This window comes from Homo sapiens, chromosome 13, assembly GCF_000001405.40.
Source record: "Homo sapiens chromosome 13, GRCh38.p14 Primary Assembly".
In the NCBI taxonomy this organism is placed as follows: Eukaryota; Metazoa; Chordata; class Mammalia; order Primates; family Hominidae; genus Homo; species Homo sapiens.
In genome coordinates, this window is record NC_000013.11 from 32,244,767 (window position 1) to 32,259,115 (window position 14,349).

At 39.8% G+C, this 14,349-nt stretch overlaps 1 protein-coding gene across 6 annotated transcripts in view, besides 1 other annotated feature; it reads left to right on the forward strand.

Annotated features, from left to right (window-relative positions):
- Positions 1 to 14,349, forward strand: part of FRY (FRY microtubule binding protein) — a 267,352-nt gene that overhangs the window by 212,993 nt on the left and 40,010 nt on the right. For 4 of the 6 annotated variants that reach the window (XM_047429999.1, NM_001411012.1, XM_006719749.4 and 1 more), the window contains 5 exons: positions 2,557 to 2,736; positions 4,760 to 4,921; positions 7,112 to 7,186; positions 9,458 to 9,628; positions 13,198 to 13,206. In XM_047429999.1, the coding sequence (XP_047285955.1) occupies positions 2,557 to 2,736; positions 4,760 to 4,921; positions 7,112 to 7,186; positions 9,458 to 9,628; positions 13,198 to 13,206 (597 nt within the window). The remainder of the gene's footprint in view (positions 1 to 2,556; positions 2,737 to 4,759; positions 4,922 to 7,111; positions 7,187 to 9,457; positions 9,629 to 13,197; positions 13,207 to 14,349) is intronic. The other 2 variants (XM_047430000.1, NM_023037.3) reach the window with 1 other exon arrangement.
- Positions 8,860 to 10,059: an enhancer, noted in NCBI's record as "CDK7 strongly-dependent group 2 enhancer chr13:32827763-32828962 (GRCh37/hg19 assembly coordinates)". NCBI's record gives its function as "activates an origin of replication core promoter dependent on BRD2, BRD4, P300/CBP, MED14 and CDK7 cofactors, with strong dependence on CDK7, by STARR-seq in HCT116 cells {active_cell/tissue: HCT116}" and the evidence as "EXISTENCE:reporter gene assay evidence [ECO:0000049][PMID:35650434]".

Below are 14,349 nucleotides of genomic sequence, written 5' to 3' on the forward strand. Positions count from 1 at the left end.
TTCTGTGTATATTTTAATATTTCCATAATAAACAGTCTTTATGTATATTTTTAAAACCAAGAGACTGGCTCCAAGATTTCAGTTAGTAAAGGCTGGAGCTGGTATTTGGATCCAAAGCCAGTGTCTTTGTTTTATTGTACCAGGCAGCCTCCCTGGCAGGATACTTGGACATCTCCAAACAGCTACAGATTGATTTTTTTTTTCAAAACTGAGTCTCGCTCTGTCCAGGCTGGAGTGCAGTGGCACAATCTCGGCTCACTGCAACCTCCACCTCCCGGGTTCAAGCGATCCTTCTGCCTCAACCTCCCAAGTAGCTGGGACTACAGGCGTGTGCCACCACGCCCGGCTAATTTTTGTATTTTTAGTAGAGACAGGGTTTCACCATATTGGCCAGGCTGGTCTCGAACTCCTGACCTCGTGATCCACCGCCTCGGCCTCCCAAAGTGCTGGGATTACAGGCATGAGCCACCACGTCCAGCCCAGATTGATTCTTAAAGCCGTACTCTGAGAAGACCAGAAACACAATTTATTTTAATGAAAATAAAAATAAATATCAAGGCCAGGTGCAGTGGCTTATCCTGTAATCCCAGCACTTTGGGAGGCTGAGGCAAGAGGATCGCTTGAGGCCAGGAGTTCAAGACCAGCCTGGGCAACAAAGTGACACCCCATCTCTACAAAAATAAAAAAAATTTTAAAAATCAGCAAGGTGTGGTGGTGCACACCTATAGTCCCAGCTACTTAGGAGGCTGGGGAGAGAGTTTCCCTTGAGCCCAGGAGGTTGAGGTTACAGTGAACTGTGATCACACCACTGCACTCCAACCCGGCCAACAGTGATAAATAGGAAGATAGGAATATAGATAGATGGAAAGATAGCTCAAACACACCAGGACGAGTTTCTAGAGCCTGGAAGTTAATCTAAAACACATGACCACAGACTAAAGCAGGGAGGCTCCAGGCCATGGGAGTAGTGCAGGGCCACGATGGGGTTAAGTAGAGAGCGCCTAGCTCAAGAGCATAGACATCCTTTTCTCTATATTGTATTTGTCTATTTCTTCTCTGGAATGTACTTTGTAACTTGTAGGATTCAAGGGCAAATGCTAGGTTCTCTCTGGAAGCTCATTGATGAAGATATACCGTATAAATTTTAGACATTCCTTTCCATCTTTACTTCACCAAATTACTTACAGAAATTATTTGATGCTGAAAGTGACTTCCAAGCATTTTTCAAGTGGCGTTGCTGCATCATACTTACACCACATAGGGTAGGCAGTCAGTTAACAGTTTCTCACTTCACTCACAGGAGACAGGTGGTCAGTTGACACCTTTCTACGAATGTGTGCCCCATTTTGTTGTTTAATGAGGCTGTCCATTTTGTCTTAGGCCTGCGGGCGACGTCTGATACTTTTTATCTTAACTCAAATAGTAGCTTATTTCACATTTAAACCATGGCTTCCCTTGCGCAGAATTTAATAGATGTTTTATTTCATGTGCTTTGACTGCAAAGTCCAGGCAAAAAATAATAATAACAACTTTCATCAAATTTGTTTATCTGTGTTTCTAATATTTTTATGGGAGCGGCACACAGTCTGATTGGAGGTTGTCAGAGAAACGAAGATGGTAAAACTGAGTCTTAAATGAAGAGTAGGAATTTGACATGCCAATAAGGAGGGGAAATGTATTCAAGGATGAGGGCATAGCATGAGTAAAGGCACAGAGGCTGAGAGGGCTTGCCAAGTTTGGGGAACTCCAGCAGCAGCCTGGGGGAGATGACCCTTGCAGGCCATGCTCAAAGAGTGTGGACTCCACCCTGTCCACCAGAGGGAGTCTGTGAAGGAGTTTAGTCAGGGAAGTGGCTTGGTCTGAAGAGTTCTAGGAAGATCACTCTAGCTGGATCTGATGCACTTAAGGGCTGCAAGCCAAGACACCAGTAAGGGGCCATTGAGATAGTCCAGGCAAGGCCCAAGAGGGTGCCGCTGAGCCAGTGCCAGCAGGAATGCCGTGGAGGGAACAGATTACCAGGAGGGAGGGAAAGAAAGGGTTAAGAAGGGCTTCCAGATTCCTGAGTTAAGTAATGAGGAAGACAAGAAGTGAGAAGAAAAGAGGGCTGAAGACAGAGATCAAGGTACCCAGGAAGCAAATGGAGCAGGAGGAGCCAGAGAACTAGAAGGAGGACCAAGAAGACTGGAAACCGGAGGGTGGGGAGAACTTTAAGAAAGAGTGAACTGAACAGTCAGTGTCATAAAATGCATTGGGAGCTTTTTTTTTTCCCTCAAATTAAGGAGGTGCCTCATTACCATAATGGTACCTCATTAATAAGAATTTAATTTAGCTGAAATGGACAAAATTGGTCTTTTTTGTTTGTCTCCTAAACATAGCTCCTTTTATATATACATTGTCTTTTTATGTCATTTGCCTTTTACTTCTCATGGAACCTGCTGCGCTGTTTTAAGTCAGTGAATTCTGACTGGTCACTAGCTTCTCACTGGTCATTCTGACATACATTAGCTTTAAAAAAATTAAATTATTTTTAACCCTTGAATGTTTTATTTCCTGCAGAGTGTTCACTGGAGAGAAGCTCTGAATATCTTGAAGCTGGTAGTTTCTCGGTCAGCCAGCCTTGTTTTACCTTCATACCAGCACAGTGACCTCTCAAAAATAGAAATACATCGAGTGTGGACTAGTGCTTCCAAGGAATTACCTGGGAAAACCCTGGACTTCCACTTCGATATTTCGGAGGTACTTAGCTATGTTAACTATTTCTGTGAACTTTAGCATGAATTTGTAGTAGCAAAGATCAAAAGTAGTTGCCTGGAAAAAAGAAGACTTATTTGACAGTTATTTCAAATGAAGATTTCTAAGGGCTAAATTAGGTTTTGCTTTTTAAAGAACCCATTGAGTGTCATATTCACTGGGACTCTCAGTTGGCAGCTTTTAAAAATAGAAACTAGCCTCAGTTATGTAAAAAATGATTTTAAAAAGAGGTATTTAAAAATGGAACGATCATAAGCATTTTAAACCATGACCTTCACTCATTCTTTATCTGACAATGGTCATGTCTTTATATCCACAATGTTTCTCCCTGAATGACAGCCAGTTCAGCAGATGACCGAAATTTACAGGAATATAGACTCCACTTTTATAGTTGCTTCCCCAGTCCACACTATTTTTTAAACAAGTAAAACTAAATTCTTGCCTTGAAGCGGGCAGGGGAGAGAGAGGGAGGAGCAAAAGACTAGGGACCCAAGCTAAGGAGTCAGGAAGAAAAGAAAGGACAGGAAGTAGTCATGTTTACCTGATAGTCCATGAACAAATATTTGGGAGGCTTATATTGAAGTCTAAGGTATAAAATAACTTTGCTTTCACATCTCTTACCCCATGACTCATGAACCCCCAAAGCAGAAACTGTACTCTGTTCCTGTTTATAACCAGGGCTCAGTACAACATCTGGTGCATTAGTAGATCACTAGTAAATATTTCCAAAACTCTGCTGAATGAATAAATTCACTAAGAAATAAACCTGGTGTCAAATACTGCATGTTCTCACTCATAAGTAGGAGTTGAACAAAGAGAATACATGGACACAGGGAGGGGAACATCACACACCGAGGCCTATCACGGGGTGGGGAACAAGGGGAGGGATAGCATTAGGAGAAATACCTAATGTAGATGACAGGTTGATGGGTGCAGCAGACCACCATGGCACATGTCTACCTGTGTAAGAAACCTGCACATTCTGCACATGTACCCCAGAACTTAAAGTATATTAAAAAAAAAAGAAATAAACCTGGTGTGCTTATATGGAACTTACTTGCACTATTATGTAGGTCATATCCAAGTTGGGTTTTTTATACAATGGTCCTCACTGACCTTTCATCATTTCAGTATTCAGGATGAGATACTATTTGCTACCATTGTGACACCTGCATCTATATTTAATATGTAAATAATATTAAGGTTTCAATTTAATCTTGGTCCATTTTCACATTTTTTTTAACCTGGCTAGGGGGAAAAGCTATTTTTTCTCTGCAATTTGAGTTTGTTGTGTTCTAAAGAGGTACAAAAAAACATGCAGCTGGTTAGCAGCATGCTCCAGAGACCCAGAACTGCCCCAGAATGATGGGTCTCAGGAGCCAGGTGTAAAATTGACAGTTTCTGCCACTGCCGAGGTCAAGCCCATGAGCTGGTGTCTGCAGAGGAGGCCTGCTCGGAGCTTGAGTTTGCGAATTGCTGCCTATGCAGCCACCACACTCTGGAGCTCTCAGGAAGTGAAATTTCTCAAGTGCTGCCCAAGTACCTGGCCCTGACCTCAGTCATTTGAATAATTGAAAAGATATAAATAAGTTAAATACATTTTTAAATAATTGAGAGTATATAAAGATTAATGATTAAAAGTTGGGAGAGGGAAAGGAATTTTGGTCTCTTGTTCTAACTATATGAAATTTTTTTCAAGTTTAAACAATCAAAAACTGACTATTTGGTTTCCTGCATGTTTTGCTTCCCTTTGTCAGTGGTTTCTAAAGCATATTAAAGAACAAGCAGTTGCATTTTTCTGCCGCTAAAGAGGGGAGGAAATGTTGAAGATGAAAAACGACTCATAATGTGTACTTGCATGTTGAGAAAATGAGCCCACTTGTAACACTGAACTTCTCTAATCTGATTTTTAATCAAATAAGCAGCTCTTGGTTGCTTCTGGGGAGAAGGGTTTCATATATCACAAAACCATTGAGACAGAATAATGTGCGTTTGTCTTCTTCTCAAGACTCCAATCATCGGGAGGCGGTATGATGAGCTGCAGAATTCTTCTGGGCGTGATGGGAAGCCCAGGGCCATGGCCGTCACCCGGAGCACATCTTCCACTTCCTCAGGCTCCAACTCCAACGTCCTTGTTCCAGTGAGCTGGAAAAGGCCCCAGTATTCTCAGGTATGCAATCCTAGACCCACAGTCCTGGGAGGGAGTTTAGGGACCTGTTGAGTCCATGTGGCTGGGTCATAAGGGATTCCCTCTCACCATCCCAAGGTTGCCCATATAGGTCTCAGCACTTCCAGGGATGGGGTCTTGTGGCATTCCAAGGAACCCATTTGCTCTTTGAACAGTTCATCACCTTGAGTTGAAGTCTGACTCTTTGCTGCTTCTATCCATTGGTTCCAGTTCTCTCAAGGCTTAGAAAATAAAATCTGGTCTCTCTTTCACATGGCAGCCCTTCAGAAATTCTGCCCCTCTGCCACTCTCCTAATGAGGCCAAACAACACATCCTTAGTTCTCCCAACCAATTCTATAGCACTTGGACTCCCAAAGGGTTGATAGGGCTGCACACCCAAAGACCACCCTGTCTGCTGCCCACGGAACAGGCACCTCAACCATGGTGTCCATGCACGGGCTGAGCCATGCAGATGGCAAGGGGCGGGGGTACTGCTGCCAGATTCTCTGTAGTTCTGTCATCACAGCATAGCAGAGATGCCATTGGGCTTCCTGTCAAGTAAAACTTCTGCATTATTCAGGGGTCTTCTGTTGACTTGTTACAGAAACCCACTGAAAAATTACCTTCTGTGGTAAAGAAACTTATTAACTTACTCATCTTGGCTTCAAGCACAGTTGGCTCCTAGTTCACAGATGTCAGAAACTGGATTCTTAGGCTGTCTCCTCACTGTCCCCACCTTCCCTTCCCAACATCTTGGCCCTTGTTTTCCCCTCCAGTGACTTCATTCTCAGGCAGGGTTTTTCTATGGGAGGCCCAGATGACCTCTGGCAGCTCCAGGTTTACATGGTCTTTGGCTCTGATGACTTCAGAGCGACAGAGGCCTTTCCTCTTTTGACATCCTTAGCAATTCTGAAAGATCTTGCAGGACATGCGAGGGAGGCATAGCCTCACTTAGTGGGAATGGAGCCTTTCCGAGATAAAAAGAGGGACAGTGTTACCAGAAGAAGGTGAAGTGGGTGCTGGGAAGGACAAAGTGGGTGCCCAGGAGGACTCACCTTCTCTCTCAAAGGTTAGGGGAATGGAACATGTAGCATAGTGCCGGCTGCAACAGAGCAGGTTCTCAGTGAGTGTTCAGCTGAAAACTTCATTGGAAGAGAGAAGAAAATACAGCCCAATGTGTTCCTCTACATTGATTCCTTCCCAGAATTGTAAAATGACCACTAAGACTTAGGAAAATCGTTTAGCGAGTCTTCTGCCATTCCTTAACCTCAAAGTCCTCCTGTCTCTGACCTTGAGCAGACACCATATTGAGTGTCTGTCCCCTCTATAATTTGGAAAGAAGGATGCAGTGAATTGAGTTCCGTTAAGAAGAAAAATCTAAGAGTGGCATTGGCCTCCTAGCAGTTTCCACATAACAAACCGTAAATCAGATTAAAGGGGGGAGAATCATTTTAAAGAGATTAGGAAGATTGCTTTAAAAATTCTCAACTCACCAATCATTCTGAGACCTGGGTTATCTGCCACTGGAAAAATGTAATGGTTTATAGAAGAATCCCTATGGTCAAGGGGCTGGAAAATAGGTTTATGAAGGAAAGGAACTGAATCTGTTTAACTTTAGGAAGAAGAAACTAAGAAAGATTTAATATGGCTTAAAACGAATGAATTTTTTCATTCTACAGAAAGTATTCTTCTATTTGAGAAAAAGAGACTCATGCTGTAACTTAATAAAGTGTAAGGAAAGCCTTGCTAATACTGAAAGTTTAACATATAAGAAAAGATTATCAAAGGAAGTGATAGATCTCCTTAAAGAACCTAGGGATTTATTTTCACATACACACATATATACACCCCTTGGGATAACTTAGATCACCACTGTCCAGCAGAAACATAATGTGAGCTTCATTTTACATTGTCTAATAGTTACCCTTAAAAAAAAAGGAAAAACAGGCAAAATTAATTTTAATAATACATGTTACCTAACCTACTATATTTAAAATATTATTTCAACATGTTTTCAATATTTAACAATTTTTAATTGCTATTTGTGTTCTTTTTTCATACTTTTGTGTATTTTACATTTCATTCTGTCTATACGTTAAGTGCTATTGCCCTGTATGGCTAGTGGCTAGAAAATTAGAGCAGATTTGCTCACAGGAACCCATAATGAAACCTGCCTTGTGTTTCTTTTCCAGAAGAGAACAAAAGAGAAGTTGGTACATGTCCTTTCTCTGTGTGGCCAAGAAGTAGGATTGAGCAAAAATCCATCAGTAAGTTCTGTCATGTGTCATAGTTATTTTGGTGTCATATCTCCTTTTTCATTGGTCTGTTTTTGCCTTTGGTCATATAATTTAGAGGATTCAACTGTGAATGACAAGTATGATAGCCACCGTCTTGAGCAAACCCCTGGACTATTTCTCCCCACACCATGATTTTTAATCACACTGAGTTCAGAAACAATGAAAGATCTTGCTGGCTGTTTGCTCGTTTGTCTGTGAATACTGTTTCTTTTCATTTTTTTAATTTATTGGATTTTTTTTTTATAAATATGCCCAGAATGTCTTACAACGTAAATGATAATCTCCACTGACCACCATGTATGACATATATGCTCATATCTCTTGGATATAATTTTACTCTCTGTACACACGCTTCTTACTCTCATGTCCTTATCTTACCCACATACAATAAAGATGAAAATAATGTTTCTTTGCATATAAACTTCCACTGATGTTACAATAAAAAACTAAGAATAAAACAAAAATCATACCATCAAGCTTTTGAATGAATGGACGATTGAATAATTATAAGTAAACTTTGGAAGCTTTTATAAAATTTAGAAAAAATTGAATTAGGTATGGGAGTATAACAAAAACAATAGAAGTGTCTGCTAGTTTCACCAGGTATTTTTGTTTCACCTGTATCACAGAATATTTATTATTTATGAAAAAGAAATAACAAACTAATTTCTCAACTGAAGTAAGAATTAGCAAACACATTTCTCGGTGGAGCTATTTTTAAATTTCAAAATGGATCTACTAACACATAGTTCATGAGCAGGTGAAATATTAGAGGCTCATAAATACTTGCTAAAGTACAAAGTGATATTTCTTATCGTCTGGGAAAGCACCCCAGCCAGCCATCAGCTAAGCTGGGCCTCCATTTAAGTCACTTTTTTGGTGTTATTGATCAGTGGGTTTTCTGCGGCTCCTGTGACAATATTTAGGACAGAGGGGACAGTGGCAGAGGCAGATAGAGACTCCTAGCCCACAGTGAAGAGACACAAGTATGTTTTTCCTCTGCATTGCAGCACTGCCAACAAGGCCTACTTCTTATCGTCATTGTGGTTGGCACTTTCTCCTTCAGACTCATCCTGTCTGCCCTGTGCTAAGGCCTTTTCAGCTAAAATATTTACCTGGAGTACATTACAAATAAGAGAAGCAGCACTAACTAGGAAAGACAGCCTTCAGCTGAGGAAATCAGAAATCTCATGTCTCGTCTCTCACTGACTAGTTGACTAGCCCTCAGGGCTCTTTATCTCATGTACCCATTTGCAATCCCTATGTAAAACTGTGTGTCAGGTGCTATAATGAGAGGCTATCATATGCATCATATACTATTCTTAAACACTAGAGGAAAAAAGTACACTTGAAATCCATTCATTCTTTCTACTTTTGAGAGATGTTTATCGTATTTAAATTCTTATAAATGATTTTGCCTACTTTTCAAGGACAACTAAGACATTATAATGGTTATACAAAGAATACTATTAATTTTCTTTAATATCTATCTATGTTCAGTAGAGGCTGGATAGCAAAACATTTACTCTCATTTACAGTTTATTATATACCAAGTTCTACCAAAATGGGTCAGTGAAAAGAACCTAAACATAGAAGTTAATCTTAAAACATTAACATACTAAAGATTTTAATAGTAAAAAAATGTTTTATTTTGTTTAAACCTACAGGAGAGGAATTTAAGTATAAGTTATGGGCCTGGTTACTCACCTACTCTTCTATGGACAAGTATTGTAATTTTTGGCTTCTGTTTTTTTATTTCTTATCAATTGCTTGTTTATCTCTAAAAGAGTTAAATCCTTTGTTCCCACATTCATTCTACAATAATATATCTTGGTATCAGTCCTTAAAATATTATTTATGTGTATTTGATATATGTGTGTAAACATGTATAATTTCTAACTCTAATCAGTTCAGAAACAGTGGAACATTTTCCTGGCTGCTCCAGTTTACACACACACACACATACACACACACACACAGGTAGTATACAGTCTTCATCCATTAAAAAGCAGCGACGTGATTCTTGAACATTTTCCTGGTGCATGAACTTGCGTCTTTGCCACGAGTTTAATCTGAAGGCACCTGTCCAACATAAATAATAAAAGAACATTCTAAAAATACCCACTGAAGGAATTAGGTGTGTACTGGAAATACGGTGCTATGAAGAGCCAATTACAATTTTTCGTAGCACAAACAACCAAAGGGAGAACGGTTTCTCAGGAGAGGACTCTTGATTCGCAGGTGATTTTTTCATCGTGTGGGGATCTGGATCTGCTTGAGCACCAGACAAGCTTGGTATCTTCTGAGGACGGTGCCCGAGAGCAGGAGAACATGGATGACACAAACAGCGAGCAGCAGTTTAGAGTCTTCAGAGACTTCGACTTCCTAGATGTGGAGCTGGAGGATGGAGAGGTACGGTGTATTCTCTGTAAAAATAATCCCCGCACCCTTTTCCTTGACTAATGAAACTATTCTTTTTACCTGCTAAATAATGAGTTTTTGTAACAAGATCTTTAATTGGAAAGTTGTAAACTTTATTTTGAATCAACTTATTCAAAGTACAGCAGCTAAACTTTGGCAAAAGTTACCACACCCTTCCTGTCTGAGCCCACGGCAAAAGCTGCCAAGTTATTTCTAAACGGCAAAGACCTGAGTTTTAATGACCACACAAAGACTGTATGTGTGTGTGTAGTCCCAAGCTGGACTTAAAAAAAAAATCACAAAAAACATTTCAGTTCTTAGCCTGTTCACTGGTACCTGGGTAAAATATGCTAAGCATTTAATCATTTCTAATGTGAAGTTTCTCTAATTCAATTCCTTCAAAGCTTGCCTGCTACAACATGAGACCAGAGCCTGAGGGATCAAACATTTTTGTGCTTGATGAAATCGTTAGAACTGGAAACAAAATGCAATGCACACAAGAGAGCTCTTTGCTCTGCTTAGCTCGGTGGCTGGTGTTCTAGACACTGGAGCAGCCAAATTCAAGTCTCAGTGGGCAAATGCAGATTCATTTATTTTGGATGATAATCATGGTAATAAGATACTTTCAGCTATGAATCATGTTTGCAAAAACAGGTATTGAGAGGAGGAGCATCACCTGTCAGTCACCTTCATTTCAGTAGCTTAGAGGCATGTTCCACCTGAGAGGCCGTCTTTTGCCTCATGGGATCAAAACTCAGTTCACTTAAGTGAGACTGGATGATGCAAAGGTGCCTCGTTCGGAACCGGGCTCATGGTGTTGTCAAGCTCATGTTTAACTGCACCAGATTTCCCAAACGACTCTCTGCTAGTCCTACAATTGAAGAGGCAGGCCTAGATCCCAAGTTTAGGATTTCCTGCAGTAGGTAGGCACCTCCTTACTTAACTACAGGCTTGTGGGAAATGATGCTTCAAGTAGCTGCTTACCTTCCCTAAAAGGATTTTATTATTGACCAACCCGCCTATGTCTAATTGAAGCCAAAGAGCCCTTTGCTTTTGTCCTTCCTGGCCCACTGATGACCCTGGATGTCTGCCCCAGCAGGAGAGAATCATGTCCTCGGAATAAAGAAGGTGTTCTTCACCAATTCTTTCCCTGGAAAACAAGTTGAGCAGATCCGGTCCGTAAGCAGTATAAAGGCACTGCTATCATGTATCCTTAAAATAACTGCCAGCTTAATTTTCACCTTGAATTGCTTAAGAACCAATAAAAAGTATTGCAGGTTTCTGTGATCCATAATAAATGATAGAGAAAGCATTCACTGAATGCAGTGAAGATTGTTTTAAGTCTAAAGCAAAATACAACTGTTTTGAATACTTTCAAAAATGTCTCTGAGACAGAGCTCAGAGTTCAGCTAGTGTCAAAAGACCAGCTCCCTGATCTGACAACTGACCTAATGTTTGCTCTTCAGTTAAAATTCAAGCTTGGACACCTGTTTCCCTCTGGAAGTTATACAAGGGAGGGAAAAAACGGATGAAGCAAGAGAGGCATCATTTCCTGTCTCGGCCAGAGAAAAATGTTATGTGAAACGACCTAGCAGGAATGATGTAAAGCGAAGTAATCCGACACAATTTCAGAACAGCTCACAAATTTAGTTTCTATCAAAATAAAGGAAGGAAAAATCTGGGATGCCCGTTACTTAAAAATAAATATTATACTAATGTTTTTCAGGGACAAGAAATAAGGAATACTACACCTTTTTTTCTGGTCTTCTCTTTATTGTCCTAGCCAGCAATAACTAAAAAATCACAGTGATTATTTTATCTTTCATTGTTAAGATTTTATAAGAAACTGGCTGGGCACAGTGGCTCACACCTGTAATCCCAGCACTCTTGGAGGCTGAGGCATCCTAGAGGATCACTTGTGTCCAGGGGTTTAAGACCAGCCTGGGCAACAGAGCAAGACCCTGTCTCTACAAAATTTAAAATTAGCCAGGTGTGATAGCACATGCCTGTGGTCCCAGCTACTCGGGAGGCTGAGGTGGGAATATCGCTTAAGCCCAGGAGGTCAAGGCTGCAGTGAGCCGTGATTGCACCACTGCACTCAGACTGGATGACAGAGTGAGACCCTGTGTCCAAAAAAAAAAAAAAATTTAGAAGAAGAAACTCACGGGGCTGAGAGTGTACATTTTATCCAAATAAAATAAGGCATTTGAGAATGTTTTGCTACTTCCCAATAAAATCACAATAAGGGATTCTAGCATTCTTGGAGTAGAAGAGTGAAGATGCCTGAACTTCAGAGTCCAACAGCTCCAGGTTTGAATTTCATCTCTGCCACTGACCTTAGCTATATGACCTTAAGCATGGATGCAATTCCTCTTGCTTTCCACTTCTTTGTCTATTAAGTGGGTATAAGAATACAGGTTGAGCATTCCTCATCTGAAAATTCAAAATCTGAAATGCTCCAAAATCCTAAACTTTTTGAACACTAACATGACATCACAACTGAAAGATTCCACATCTGACCTCATGTTACAGGTCATAGTCAAAATGCAGTCAAAACTTTGTTTCATGCACAAAATTATTTTAAAATTGTATAAAATTATCTTCAGGCTGTGTATTTAAGGTGTATGTGAAACATAAACAAATTTCATGTTTAGACTTAGGTCCCATCCCCAAGATATCTCATTATGTATATGCAAATATTTCAAAAATTTTTAAAAATCTGAAATCCAAAACACTTCTGGTCCCAAGCATTTTGAATAAGGCATACTCAACCTCTACCTGCCTGTAGAGCTGACATGAGGATTAAATAAAATAACCAATGTATAGTGTCTAGCAAAGTGTCAGGCATATAGTTGGCATTGTAAATGTGAGTCTCCTTGTACTGTCATTGGTGAATAATTTTAGTATATCTTCATCTGATAAAGTTAGGCATACTTGGCGTTTAGATCAAAGCACAGTTGTCAAAAAAAGAAAGACAAGTCATTTTGTCATATCTATTCCTTTTCATTGGTCTCAGAATTTACTGAGTGATATCTGCAAGAGTTTGCCCTTGAACTTTTTAGAATCTTTAAAAGGTGTTGTGTCTTTGCTATTAATTGCATATGAACAGTAAGCATCATGATCACAAACACTTTTAGCTTTGTGAACAGGCTCAGGTGATGCCACCTTTATTTCCAGTTGATGACCCTCATTCATGTTTCCATAACATTTAACAGTTTTCTCACGAATACATATTTAGGCATTCCAAAAAAGTGTTGAGGAGACCAAAGTTGTCACAGAGGTAGAAAGCTATTTCAGAAATTGTAATAATGATTTGTTATCCCAGCTCTATCATCCACAGCCAAAGGATTTGGAATTTCTGATGTTTAATGTTGATTTTTCTCTTTGGAGTTAGTGTATATTTACCTTTTCTTTTAAGGTGCACCTACTGAAGTGTATATTGTTAGCACTGTTGGTTAATGTTGTGTTAACACTAAGAGAAATGTTCTTGAGTATCTTTAATATAATCATTGTAAATAGACCTTTTGTTTGTTTTTCTGCTCATTCAATCTGCTACCCAGGAACTTCAGGTAAGATGATGCTGTTTTTAATTCAAATATGCTAGTAGATGTTTTGCATCTTTGCAGATTTATAACAACATAATTGCTTTTTTCCTCCCTTCCAGAATATATATGCTTATTTGCGTGCATATTTCCATTTAGGTGTGTGATATAAGAGGTATTTTTCTTGGCTGCTCTAGTATGGAAATGTTTTCTAAAATGTAAATACATTTTTAAAACCTTTATATGCCTAGTTCTGAAAGTTGCATGATTATATCTCAGAGAAGTGGAGTTTTCAAATCTGATCTATGGCAATCCTATCATTTCTCATCAAGTGGTTGCACAACTGGATGGGTTTTATTGTTAAATTCTTGTATTAAAACTGAAATCACCGGGTACCATGGCTCCCACCTGTAATCCCAGCATTTTGGGAGGCTGAGGTGCCAGATCACTTGAGGCCAGGAGTTCAAGACCAGCCTAGCCAACATGGCGAAACCCTGTCTCTACTAAAAATATAAAAATTAGCCATGCCTGGAGGTGCACGCCTGTAATCCCAGCTACCTGGGAGGCTGAGGCAGGAGAATCCCTTGAACCCAAGAGGCAGAGGTTGCAGTGAGCCAAGATCATGCCACTGCACTCCAGCCTGGGTAACAGAGCAAGACTCTGTCTCAAAAAAAAAAAAAAGTGAAATTAACAATTTGCATCTAACTATATACCATACATACTTTCAGTTGAATCTTTTTTTCCCCCAGGAATTAAAGGCTATCTCTATCTTTGTGTAGTGACTAGATAACTTTTCATCCAAACCAGGGCCCTTTTAAAAGTAAAAGGGGGTACTAATAATATTTATACCCAAACCACAGGCATTAAAACCGGGATCATCCTGGGCAAAGTGACCTATGATCAGTCTCTATCTACGTATATCAGACTTACTCTAAGTAGAACATTTGGGGGAGTATATTTTGACCACAATGCACCCAAATTTCTTCAACAATAATTCTTGTTTGACAGAGTTCCAATATGAAAAAAAGTGTCAAAAAATAGTATTTCTAACATTTATAGAATGTTTAATCATTAATACTTTCCCATCTCAGTGTAAACCCTCAGTGGTTTTTAAGTTTGAACTGACATATACAGAGTGTTCATCTGGACTAGCCATCCTCTGCATTTTCT